Below are 13,430 nucleotides of genomic sequence, written 5' to 3'. Positions count from 1 at the left end.
AACGGGCATCTAGCTAAGAGGAGACAACGTTACAAAAGCGCGGAGAAAAATACTCAGCAAATGTTGAAGTCTGTTATCCCCCCTTTGTACTAGATGAAAGCTACAATTCAGGGATGGTAACAAGTTACTACACCTTTTTTTTTTAAGGCTGCCCAATTACCCTTAAAGCACTGTTGCAGATATTAAATGTAGGTATACCTCATGACAAGAAAATGCTGTACACAAAAATCTAAAATCTCAAAATGCTGTACACAAATCTGATAAGTTTAGGGCTGTTTGGGAGAGATTTTGCTCATCAACAAAGACTTCCCTACGGTATTCCTGGCAAGTAAGATGCACATAAAGAACATTTAATTTATAACATTTCTATAAGCATCCTATTTCAGAAAAGTATGTACAGAAGGCAAGGCAACACACCTACCTGTACCCACCTGTCTGCTCATTGTGATTTTAGCACTTCTCTTGGTCCTCATTCTTACACCTCTTGAGCTATCTCTTCACAAATTTAATCACACAAAGTATTAAGCAGGTTTTTGTCTATCATTCCATCTACCTATTCACCAAAAAATAACTGAGCACCTACTGTGCACCACACACTGTTCTAAGCATTGCAGTGTCAGCAGTGAATAAAACCAACAAAACTCTCCACCCTTAATGAGCTCACATTCTTGTCAAGTTTGAATTAGGTTCAGGTTTTTGAACCAGTATACCTTCCTCCCAAGATCAGAATCTGCCACTTACACCAAAGAGGAACAGACTTGTGTGTCTCTTGTTGGAGTAGATATCTGGAAAGTCATGCCTCATATTTGATAATGAACTTAGACCCAATTTGTAAATACTAAGGATGAGTGGTAAAGTCCTCATTAGCCCAGTCTACTATAGAGCCCAAGCACAAGCAGGGCTTGCCACTAGTATAGCATCTATCCTAGGGTATCCTTATAGATTAGCAGAGAAGCTAAGGATTCACATGGCCTGTGGATTAATTCAAGCTCAGCAACATACTACCAGTATGGCCTTGGGCAAGTCGCTGAACCCTTCTGTCCCAGTTTCCTGCTCTGTTAATAGAGAAATCGGATAACACAAATCAGAACCTGTAACATAGGAAATGTTACCTGTAATTATTAGCTTAAATTATTACTATTAATACCGTTTTTAGGTCTTCTCAGCTAGATTTAATATTTTGAAGAACTAGCATAGTGCCTGAATGAACTGAATAAATGAATGATGCTGCACTCTGAACTGGCAGCATTAGGTTATTATTCTGGGCCAGGGACTGGGAACACAAAAATAAAAGACACATTCTCATCTTTCACAACAACAAAGTTGCATGGGAAGAGTTGGGGAAGGGAGAAAGCAGGATCCAGCCCAGGTGGAAGTCAGCTCAGGAAGGTATGAAAGCACAGAGGAGAGGCATCTGAACAGACTGGGTAGGAGTATGGGAGTTTGAGGGACGGAGGAAGCAGGAGGTCCTGCTGCTCACTAGCAGCTTCCCAGAGATAGAGTTGAGATTTGAACAATGACATAGCCAGGCAAAGAATTACTTGGTGGCCAAACAGCTAATCGTAAACACAGATGTCAACACAATTCACACAGTACGAAGGCACCAACTCCCTTTTTAGGAAAAAAGAAATTCTAATGGTAAAATGTTGGTACACACCTAACAAACAAAACAGTTAATTATATTTTTAGAAAAGGAGAAAGAGCAAAAGAAACAATGTATTTGTGAACATCTCAAGAGCTACAGTATACCCTTCTTTTGAAAAATGGCCATTTTGCTAGCAATTGTACCAATTTACAAACACTTGTTTCAATTATTTCAGAAAAAAAACACATTTTCATTTGGTATTTCTTTGAAGAATGTTTGCACAAATGTTTCCAAAGCTCTTCTTGGGAGACTTTTGTGGTTGTCCCTCAGCAAATGTTGGTCTGTGTTAATGAGAATACTCCATTCACACAGCAAAAGAGGACTCAGGCAATTATGTGATGAATGTGAGCTACTGTCAAACCAGATAATTCAGGGTCCAAAGTCAATTGTCTTATGTTGAGTATTCAATGCTCCGGGTCCCCTAAACAATAAAAATTTCTGGATTTCCATTTCACTCTGAAGTGCACTAATAGTAATAAAAGAGTTTCATGGGCCTTGACCAGGACTGTTTTGCCTACTTAGCTTGCATTCTCTCTCTCTCCCAGAATTCCTGTTTTACTTACAGTCCATGTCATAGTATTTCCCTAATTCTAATTATACTTTCCAATGTAAATTCTGTGAGGCCAGAGGTCATCTTCTACGGTCCTTTCATCTCTCCCTAAAAATGACTGACTAGCAGAGTGTTGGGCACAGAGTAGGTAGGCAATACAAACAGTTCTTGAGAGATGACAAACACTGAACCAGGGTACAAGGGCTCCTGACCCGGCTTTGCCAATTACTGACTGGATGTCCTTGGGCAAGTCATTTTCCCATCCTGGGCCTCAGTCTCCTTATCTGTACAATGAGGAGTTTGGATCACATGATCCAAAGGGGCCCTCCAGCCTTAAAACTCTAGCTTCTACGACCTGATTAACGTCTACACACCAAAGCCAAGCACTTTGGCAGCAAATAAATAATAGCAAATTGATGAGACCTCTCCACGGCACTTCATCAGAAACATCCATCACACTGAGTCTAATTTAGTCACTGTGGTTGTGCCGACCTGGCATGAAAACAATCAGTCCTTTGGAAAATTAATTCATTAAAAAATTTGTTGGCTGACATCCTGAAGGGGGAAATAAAGCCTACGTAATTGCATTTTTCATTGTTCAACAGATAGTCAGGTTGTCATGTACATATTGCCGTAGTCTACAGGTTAAAATGACCTTATAACAACACATTCCATCTGCTTGGTTGGTTTGATCAAACCATACTAGAAACCCAAACACCAAGAAGACATCACAATTTTAGCAAGCAACTTCTTCCAATGATTGTTAAAGCTGAGATTTCAATTTCAGCACCACTACAAAACAAGTAGCATATTATTTTTTACTTATACAAAAAAGAAACCATTTCAAAGCTATTTATTTCCAGGAGATACGTTGCCTACAAAACACAAAAACTGACTCCAGGAAAATGGTTTAATAAAGGTCACCAAGTGAACCAGTATCTGCTACTGAGATCTGGTTTTCATTGAAGATGGTAGATGATGCAGAGAACTATTATTTGGAAATCTAACAAAACAAACTGTTCTCCATAGGATGGAAGTAATGTCTTTTATTTCTCCAACAAACGAAGCATTGGAAAAATAAACAGATGAGTGATTTTGATTTTGTAATGAAAACAAAGCTTGTTTCCTTAGCTTAATCCTCAAAGTGTGGCTTTTACACCTTCATATAAGAGAACGTACCTACTGAAGAACCAAATCGAAGATTACTTTGAAACATTAGCTGATTTTATTTTTCAAATGAAGCAAAATACACAGGTATGTTTGAAAAACAGCATCCCATAAAGTAAGCAATCCATAATCAAAATCACATTCTAGCTATAGTGCTATTGTCAGCTCTGCTTAAATCATGTCATTTTTTTCAGCTCTCAGATAACTTTTTTTCAGCTCAGTAAGTAGGTAGATGTTAGACGCTAAGGTCATCTAAAAGATTTACTTCAAAATAAATTCAACAATTCAGTGCATCACCCTCTCTACGGTGTAAAGTGTGCCTTGCTTTGAACATGCATATAAAATTTCATTAAAGTGTAACATAAAAGTTTTACATTAGAAGAACCCAGGGCTGGACCTTTGTTTAACAGTCATGATAATTTATGGTGTGGATCTGCTACAGTTAAGTAGAAAAACAGCCTTCTCATGATGAAATACAAGTCATAAAGACTGAAACTCAAGGAAAGCTGGAGGAATCCCAACCCTCCGACCACTCATATTTTCCTCAGATTTTTGTTACACATTCTTTATTAATGTTCTCAATGCAGATTGAGACACAATACCAGTCCGTTAATTCCTATAATGCTGTACCTTAAAAGATATTCTTTCCTCTTGTTTTTCTTTTGGGCTAAACATATCTTGGAATTCATAGAAATTCTGTTTCTTAAAAACATGCCAATTACATGGATACTATTTTTGCCTTTTCCTATTAATCTTCTTCTGTATCCATTGGTTATTCTCTTTATTTTCTGCAAAAAGATCAGACTGGCTAAGAGACATGAAAAGAATTACAAATAACTAATATACAATCACACAGGCAGAGGGACAGTATTATCACTAGGATTTAGTAAGTAACTATCCTTGAAAGAGACCTGCATTTGCATGGAACAGTCTTTGAGTCGAATGTGACTGTAACATCAATCAACAGATGTTTATTGAGTACCTCTGATGGAAAAACACTGTGCTAAATGATGCCAGAGGGTGACACACCATTCTCTAGGAAGCAACGTGGATATTTAAATATTAACAACTTAATGCACCAGTGGTGATGCAGCGAAAAGAGCAACAAACACATATCCTAAGACTATTCACCTACTGTGCAAATTCAGGCAAGTAACTTAACCTCTCTGAACTTCCGTTTTATTATCTACAAAATGAAGCTAAAATATCAATCCTAACAAATCTTTAAGGTTATTGTGAGGGTCCAATCAATTAATACATATGGTAAGATTAGAAAGCTTTGGAAAGAAATGTTACCAACTTCCCACCTCCAGTTTTGAGGCTCCAAATGAGCCAAAAAATATACCATGGTCTTCTTTATGTTCAAGTATCAAATCTTCAAAATTTGAGCATTCAGATTTAAATGAACAATTCTCAAGGACTTGAGATTTGTCTCCTTTATATATATATATATAATTTTCCATTCTCACATTTTCATGAAGGGGGCATCCATAAATGACATGCTAAGAGATTGTATCAGTATATAGACTGTTCTCTTTCTAATTAAAAGGAAAAAGCAGAGTTCCATGGCTGGTCAAATTACATGGTAATTCCACAGATTTCTTCCACAAGTACAATATACACAATCCAATCCATTTGTTTCAGTGACGGCTAAATAAATATTCGGATCCACACAAAAAATGAATGAATTTGCCATTCAATAAAATGGCAAGAACCCCTGAACATTCTAACTCACAATGATCAAATGAGATAGCATGTGGAAGAGCATTCCACATGTTGGAAAGGCTCAGACAAAACGTCAGTTGTTGATGATGCAGGCTCTGGAGTCAGCTCCATCTATGCTGAAACCTGGATTGCATCACTGAGTGAGTACCTGTGTGATTTCATTGCTTCATCTGTAAAACAGGGATCATAACAGGTCCTATCTCAGAAAGTTGTTGGAAGGATTAAACGAAATTGAGTCTTTACAGAATTTAGTCCAAGCTTGTGGCACAGAGTAAACACTCAAATTATAGTAGCAATGATAATGTTGAGTTCTACCACAGGTAACACACACACACACACACACACACACACACAGACACACACACTCAAAAAGGTTTCTTCAAGTTTGGTCTTGAGTTCTTTAATCAGTAACATTTCTTTCCATTTATCAGTAAGCAAGTTTTTGAAATCTCTCTTTATCCAACAGCAATCAGAAAAAGAAAAACAAAATTACAAGTGAAAAATGCAGTCACTGCAGCAAAAATTGTTTTGTCTACGTGACAGGCTAATCAAGTATATGGCAGTTTTCCGCTTTGAGGTATGACCTACAGTTACAAGCTCTTAAGGCCACAGCTCTAAATTGTTCCAGAGAAGGCCATTTCATTGGACTTCTACAATTTTGAAATTATGTTAAATAAGTGCAAATTTTGCATGGCAAAATAATCTTAGCTAAGAATCATGGGCATTTATTACATGTTAAAGGTTAGTACATTAAAGCCATTTCTATTCAACAATAATTAGCATGTTTAAATACAATATAATTTGTATCCATCTACAGGATGCTTAAATGTATGGAATCTCATTCATGTCTATAATGATGGACTCATTTTCCAGGCAGTCATTTTCTACCTTGATTTGTATATTTTAAAGTTGTTAAATGCTTGACTGAATCATTAGCAAAACAATTCATGTATCATTAAACTGATTTCTACCATGAGATAATTTTCTTCCGTGTCCAATAGATGTGCCTCTTAAGATGTACTGAGATAGCTTTTATTCTTTGGAGGGTTTGGGGAGTTGCGGAGGAGACCTTACTAGTGAATTTCACCAACTTAAATTTCTCCTACCCACACATTCCCTTAAGAAACACAACCTAAAATGGTTTGTTGAATGAATGCTCAAACACACGGGAGAATGCATACTGTACTAGCAAAGAAAACAGACCATAGGCAGTCTCCCTTTTAAGAGACCACAGAGGGAAAACGGGAAAGATAAATGGATGGAGGTAGAGAACAAGAAATGCTGGGAATCTCTAGGCCTTATTCAAAACAGGACTTCCCCTCCCCCCACCCCACCACAGCCCTAGTATCTCCAAGTTGGCAAAGGTTGTGTTCCCCCCATCTCCCACACCTTCCCATCCATAAACAGTCCTGTTCCGCTCTTCTGGAGGATTGTAGCTAACGAGGCCTCGGAAGACCTGTGCGCACAGAACAGGAGGAGGCAGCCGGGTTGCTGCAGTGCATGGGCCATGCCCGGCTGGAGCTGAAACAGTTCACTTTTGTCTAGAAAGCAGCCCCCCGCCCCTTCTCCGGCACTGCCCCGCCCTCGCAAGGTCGAAGAAAACTGGGGAAAGTGCAGTTCGGACTGCTGGGGCAGGCCCTGGGGGCTGCCTTTACCGGAGGAGGAGAGGCCTGGCCGGCACATGGCCCCTTCTCAGCCTTGACAGCCCCACACAGACCTTTGAACTTTCTATTTATATAACAGTTTAGTGAGTTTAAGTCTCTTCCTGTATAACTGCCCGTTTGCAAGCTTGCCTCTAATTAGGCTATTTGTGAGACATCACATAAAAACTACAAACAATTGATGCTGTCCCTTGCGGTGAGAAGCCAGCCACTGTCACAGTCACTTAACTACGATTTTAACTAGGCTTTTGAACGTTCTGATTTTGCTATCACGGTGGTTTTCTTTTCTTTTCTTTTCTTTTTTTTAAGAATGTGTCCCTTTCTGTATTTTCTTTCTTTTCTTTCCTTTCCTTCCTTCCAATGAAGAAAAGGTAAGCATCCCCACAAAGAACCTTGGCTTGTCACAAAGCAATACCTAATCAATACTGGGTGGGAGGTGCTTACAGAACTGAAAGGCTGTACATTTTGTAGGCCCTCTGAATTTGCTTTTTTTCCCTCTTAAATGGGGATTAATGACATCATTACCTGATCTTCAGTCACCTCAAGTATTCATTTACTTGGTTACCAAAAACAAGTCTATGGAATGATTTAAATGAAGAAATTTGATTTTTTTTTAATTTATCTTTTTCTTTAAGAGCAAGTGATGTCTTTCATGCACACAGACAGACATCTGTGCCATCTTTTTCTTTCACAGAATGGTTTATATTAAATTCAGACTCAGGTGAACATTGCTCATTCATCCAAGAATCTTAAAGAACTTGAGCTTTGGCCCTTTAATCGAGTCCAGAGCATGACCCATTAAGTTATTCTTGCAGTTTGTGAAATCCAGTGGTATGTTCCATTAGGCATGTGAGCATTCCAAAACACTGCACATAACATGCACACTGCAGCATCATTAGTACCCCATCCTTTCCATTTGCATTTGCCCTAACAAATGTGTGTGTTTATAAATGGGCACACACTTTTTGTTTACTACAGTCAAGTGTTTGCAAATAACACATATGCCTGTGTATGTAAAGTCTTTCTTCATTATGTCTAGGAAAATGAGTTTGTTTTTAAGCTGTCCTGATCCATTTATTGTCAGACATCTAGGGTTGCAGTAGAGACAGCTCAGAGCTTACTGTTCCATAAGTGAATGTTAAGAATAAATTCAAGGTAAATAAGATCGTTAACTTTGCTGGTCTTTTTTCCTTTCTTGGCCCTCCTGGGGGCTTGGGGGCGTGGGGAGTGGAGGCCATCACTTTAAGTAGCTATTTACTCCCAAGGAATGGAAGTAAACATATAATGAACACGTAACTGGCATGCTCTGGACTTCCAAAGAGAAGTGGGAAAGGTACCAATTTCCACTCAAGACAATGTCAAGCTTTTTAGTTCATCCACTATTGTCACATTTATGTTCCTTTTCTCTGTGGAGCTATACAAAACACAAAAGCACAACCACATTACAAATGTTTATAAACAGAGATGCATCACGAAGTGTGCCACTCACGAGCAGTAAGAAGGAGAAATTTTCCTGGATCATGTACAGAGGGAAAGGACAGGCTTATTTATGCAGATGCGTTACACTAATTAATCAGTATTTCACATAATATTCACGAAGTGTCCAAGTCTATGCTTCTTAACTGATGTGTCTCAGTTAGGGATCTGGAGGAAAAAAAGGTTTTGCATTTTCCTTAAGATAAGAAAAAGAAAGCCTCCCACAGGGGTGAGGGAGCCTATCATTTTTTTTAAAGAAATCAAACATAAAAGAGTCCATTCCCTTTAAATATGCAATTGCATATGCATAAGATTAAACCGGAATTAATATAAAAAACATGTTTCTAAAAACCTAATACCTTGTATATGTTTAACATTTGAACTATACCCATGAAATTAATTATAACAATGTCTGTTAAATTAACGATGTAACCCACACCACATATTAGGCAAATTGTATGCAAATAGAGTGCTATGGTTATCAGTTGTCTGCAAAATAAATTAGTGAAGCAGAGTAAAGGCTGTGTGCAGAAGCATAATATCTAATTGAGCAATAATTTTATAGTAATTTTTACTTTCAAATAACAGCATTTTTTAATGTAACAATGTATTTCTACAGAGCTGATAAAACCGTGGTATCCAAAACGCCTTATAGATTAATACTGATACAGCATAATTTGCGCTTCAAGGATTTATCCGGAATTGCTGTAAAATAAAATGTATTTAAGTTCTGACTATCTTGGATTTGCAACTAAAGGAGGCATGATTGGCATAATGAAGCTGTTGGCTAAGCATATGACCCTTTTTTAAAGAAGGAAATTGCCTAAAATATCACATCAACAGGGGAAATCCTTGTAAAAATACACAGCATTCATAACCAACGGCCGCTAGTAGTTTAACATTGCAAAAGATTTCGCACTATTGGTAGGTACTACAGATCATTCTAAATACATTTTAAAAGGCAATAACCAAGAATGCAATTTTAAGCGGTTACCACTGCGCCCCCTCCCCATCTAATTCCTTAGACTGCGGGGGGAATCTGATACGTTTAAGTATTATGACAAATAAACTGTGATAATGTTTGTAGTAGGTGAAGTTTTTGAAAAGTTAATAGATATGTATATCAGTATTTATGCACACGCGCACGCACATCTCTAAGAGAGTTAACAACTTTCCAGGTCCCCAGTCACCTTTCTACCATCTTTCAAAATGTCTCAGCGACAAGTTTAGGGTATTTTGTGAAGAGCTGACTCAACCTTTGAATCTGAGCTGGAGGTCCCTTACAAAAAACTACGGCTGCCTCCCAGTGGGAGGCCGAAGGGGGTCCATCCGGTAATTAAATGTGCATTGACATCAGAGCTGCGGATTTGGGGGGCCAACTCCGAAAACCCTCAGTCTTGAAAGCCAAGCGCCGAAGTCGGCCTCGAACCAAGGTCCCCTGAGTGGTGGCCCCCAAAGCCGCTGCTCCACCCGGGAGTGCAGGGAACTTGGGCTGAGTCGGCAGAAGGAAAGGTGTGCGCGCCGCGCAGCGCAGGGATGGAGGTGGCGGCAGCGGGGGCGGTGGCCACCAAGGAAGCAGAGGGCTGCTGGCCGCACCTGGCCGTTGCCTTTCCCCCATGGCCCGCCGCGGGCGTTGGGCACCTGGAAAGTTGAGACATTTCGGGCGGGCGGCATCCGGGGCTCAAGGAGGCCAGACCGGCAAGCCGCTCCGAGAGAAAAGCTCCTGGGAGGTCGTGCGGTTCAGCCCTCGGGCGGCACCGAATTCGATGTGAGCCAAATGCAACTCTTTAGACTTGGAGCGCAAAGCGACGCTTTCGGGTCCGCATCCCTCCCTCTTCCCGCACCTCCCCCCACCCCGGCATCCGACCTAGGAGTCAGCGCGGCCGGGGCCAGAGGTGGCTGAGAGCAAGTGGGAGGGAGTCCGGGGCGCCCCCCACGACAGCTTCAGCTCCTCTTAACAAAGGCGAAAACCTCAGACTTCGCCAGGAGACTCGCTCATCAAAGGAGAAGGCAAAAATCAACACCTACCACTGCTGCTCCAAGTCCCAGTCTCTGAAAAAGTCGAATAGATCCATAGCGGCCAGGCGGCGGCGGCGGGCGGGCGCCTGTCCCTGATCGCAGCGGGTCGGCGCGGCTCTCGGCACAGCTCGCTGGCGGTTCTCGGCGGCCCCCGGCTCTCCAGCCCTCCCGCCCAGCTAAAAGTGTCCGGGCCGCATCGGCAGCAGCAGCGGGCGCTGGAGGTGTCTGGTCCTGTGCTCCGGCGAGGAAGCGGCGGCAGTGGCACTGGGCGGGCAAGCGCCTGGTCGCCCACTCGGGTCCGCTCGGTCCGCGGTAGCCCGCGCACCCAGCGACCCGACGCTGCGGCGGCAGCCGCTGCGGGCTCAGGCGGGCTGGGCCGCCCGCCTGGCTGGCTGCGGGCCGGCGGCGGCAGCGGCGGCGGGGGCGGCCGGGGCAGAGGCAGCGGCGCGGCGCGGCAGCCGGGGCGGCAGCGGCGGCGGCGGCGGCGGCGGCGGCGGCGGCGGCGGCGGCGGCGGCAGCGGCTGCACAGGCGGCGGCGGCGGCCGCGGCAGCATCACACACTTACACACTCACAGGGGGCGGAGCCTGGACAGCTAGAAGCCGCGACATGGAGCAGGCACGTTATCATCCCCGGATCTGGCAGGGGCTCGCCGCGCCCGCCCCTGCCTTTCGGGAACCCTCTCCCACCCCCCACTGTCAAAATCAGCTAGTGGGAGCGGCCACAGAGCTGAGGACCCGGACCCGGACCCGGGACGCAGGGGCCGTGGCAGGGATACAGGAGGTGGGCTGGCGGGACCAGGACGCGGGCTTCGGGAATGGGACCCCTCTCTGAAGCCCAGCCCACCCCCACCACTGGGAATTAGTTTTGAACTAGAAAAGACAGCACAAACAGCCGTGGGGTTGAAGGTCGCCCCCTGCCACCTCAAGCACAGCTCCTTGAGCCCCCGAGTAGTGGAGCAAACTTTGCGGGCCTGAGCATCCCTCAGGTCTGTAGTGCGTAGCACGCGGGTCCAGGAAGGAGAAGGCGGTCACCTTCACCAGCCCCGTGGCTCCACGTGCCCGCACCCAGGCCCTCCAGGCATGCCTTTAGGCGCGCACCTAGTAGGTCAGCGAGCTATAGGCCCTGGATTCAGTGGGCAGCAAGGATAGGAACAAATGACTGCCCTTGCGTGGTCCTTGAGTTCGGGGTTAGGATACTGTTAAACTGGGTTCCACTGTCACTTTCCTCGCACGGTCACCAGGTGCCTTGAGCAAAAGACTTCTGCTAGCTCCTCCTCTGAGAAATGGGAAAACCACTGGGTGTGTGCCCAGTATCCCACGCACCGGCTGCCCGTCTCCCTTCTGGCCTGAAATTCTCTTTCTGCACGTGGAGGGTTTAACCGAGCCTCCTACTCCCTTCAACCTCCACCTCTGATCCAGGAAGGAGTGGATCCCTTTAGCCAATTCCCTGGAGGGAAAGGTTCCCTGGCCTCCGTGCAGAGAAAGGTCTGTGGGAAGGGGCGGGACCGCTTTCTGGCATTTCAGGACATGAGCATTCTGGAGTCCTAGGCATGTAATTTGCCTTCTTCGTGTCGTTATACAGAGGGAATAGTATTGGCACATTTTTCAAATCCTAAGGCTAGAACTCTCTTGGGAAGGACAGCAGACTGAGCCCTGACAGAGCAGGGTGCCGGTAGCTCTGTGTGTGACTCCAAGCAAGTCACTTATCTGGGCCTCAGTTTCTCCATAAAACACCCAGCAGCCCTCTGGCTCATACTTCTCTGACATTCTCCCTTCTATTTGAATATGCTTCTACAGTATTATCTCATATTACCAAAATCATCCAAATACCTTTTAACTTCATTTTTTTCCTGAAGAAACAGAGACCCTAAGACATTAAAATGCTCAAGATCTGATATTTCCCCTAGAGGGGGATCCCAGATTAGAACCTAGAACCTGGGAAGCTCTTCCAGGGCTGGAGCCAGTAGAAGGTGCCTCAGCTCCAAGCATGAATGACTTCAGCATTTGAGCTACAAGGGGCCCAGGGTCTGGTCTCTTTCACATTGTTTTACGGGGGGAAAGAAAGCACATCATTAACATAGAGAAACAAGGCTCTAAGATTCTGCAACTCAAGCATCCACTGGGACTTTGCTTAGATGTCTATTTACTTTGCATGGGACCAAGTCCTCAACAGATGCTGGTTGACTGATGGAAAATCAACCAGTGGGCAGCCAAGGGGAGACGACATCTCAAAGTGGCTTGTAGATTTGGCTACCTGTAAACTCCTCTGGTCAAAAAGACTCTATGGAGAAACAGTTATTGGCAAAAATGGTGCTGGGGATTTTCAAATTATCTCTGTGACTTATTTATTCATGGAATTCTAGTATTCAGCCCTGGACTGAGAGCCCTTAAAGCAACAAGGACGGCCTCGCTCAGATCTGTGGCCCCCGACCTTTATGCCTTCAGTAAAAAATCCTCAAATTGGATTTGATTGCTGATGATGGTTGCCAGCATTAGTACTTGATCTGCTTGAAAATCCTTAGAGGAAAGCCAGAACACCTACAATTAACATTTAAATGGTGATTATGGTCACTTTATTTCTGGTTTACTTTTCTCACAAAATTGTATTTAATGGGGAAAGATAGAAAAAAAAATAACATGCTAGGCAAACAAATTTTCAACAGAAATAAAGCTGCCCCTTTAAGAGTTCCAGCCCCCCATCACCTCACTGGTGCACTTTCTTCCCAATCAGCAGGAGGACCAAGCAGAAGCAGAAGGAGCCAGCAAGAGGCAGCACTATGAACAGAAGTGCCTGCGGGAAGGAGAGAAGAGACAAGTGGTGCCGGCTGCTGCTTCAAAAGAGGGGCAGGGGCTTTCCCTTCCTGAGATCAAAACCAAGCAGGAAGGTTGGGTTGGGTGGAAGGAGCCCCCACTTCCTAGCCACTCTCCTCAAACAGAGATGAGGTTAAGACAGGCAACACTGAAGGGGCCAGGCTGTCCCTGAGGCCTCTTTGGCCGGGCCTGGCACCTGCTCACTGAGCATCAGCTACTGAGCAAGATAGAAGCTTTGTCTTCTCTGATCCAAGGTGTGCTTTCTCCCTTCCTCCTCACTCTGTGCATCCGTGGCTCTGATGGGGCCAGGGGCCCTAGAACTCAGCTCTTCAATGAATCCTCAAACATGTGGGCAGGATGCTGGATCCAAGCCATG

General features: G+C 43.8%; 1 protein-coding gene across 5 annotated transcripts in view, besides 4 other annotated features; it reads right to left on the bottom strand.

Moving 5' to 3' along the window:
* Positions 1-10,780, bottom strand: part of AFF2 (ALF transcription elongation factor 2) — a 500,047-nt gene extending 489,267 nt beyond the window's left edge. For all 5 annotated transcript variants that reach the window (NM_002025.4, NM_001169124.2, NM_001169123.2 and 2 more), the window contains exon 1: positions 10,253-10,780. In NM_002025.4, the coding sequence (NP_002016.2) occupies positions 10,253-10,299 (47 nt within the window). In that variant the 5' untranslated portion in view covers positions 10,300-10,780. The remainder of the gene's footprint in view (positions 1-10,252) is intronic.
* Positions 9,243-10,120: an enhancer, noted in NCBI's record as "H3K27ac-H3K4me1 hESC enhancer chrX:147582797-147583674 (GRCh37/hg19 assembly coordinates)". NCBI's record gives its function as "activates a minimal SCP1, AML or CMV promoter by ChIP-STARR-seq in naive H9 embryonic stem cells {active_cell/tissue: H9 hESC(naive)}" and the evidence as "EXISTENCE:reporter gene assay evidence [ECO:0000049][PMID:30033119]".
* Positions 10,654-10,795: a tandem repeat, named in NCBI's record as "fragile site, folic acid type, rare, fra(X)(q28) E".
* Positions 10,715-10,759: a repeat instability region, noted in NCBI's record as "repeat instability region; expansion of the (CCG)n trinucleotide repeat is associated with fragility at this site". NCBI's record gives the evidence for it as "EXISTENCE:Southern hybridization evidence [ECO:0000078][PMID:8334699, PMID:9032643]".
* Positions 10,791-10,954: an origin of replication, noted in NCBI's record as "C amplicon; peak of nascent strand synthesis detected by quantitative PCR of size-fractionated DNA". NCBI's record gives the evidence for it as "EXISTENCE:fractionation evidence [ECO:0000100][PMID:16582587]".

The sequence above is a fragment of the Homo sapiens genome, chromosome X (genome assembly GCF_000001405.40).
Source record: "Homo sapiens chromosome X, GRCh38.p14 Primary Assembly".
In the NCBI taxonomy this organism is placed as follows: domain Eukaryota; kingdom Metazoa; phylum Chordata; class Mammalia; order Primates; family Hominidae; genus Homo; species Homo sapiens.
This window is presented reverse-complemented; position numbering and strand designations above follow the sequence as displayed.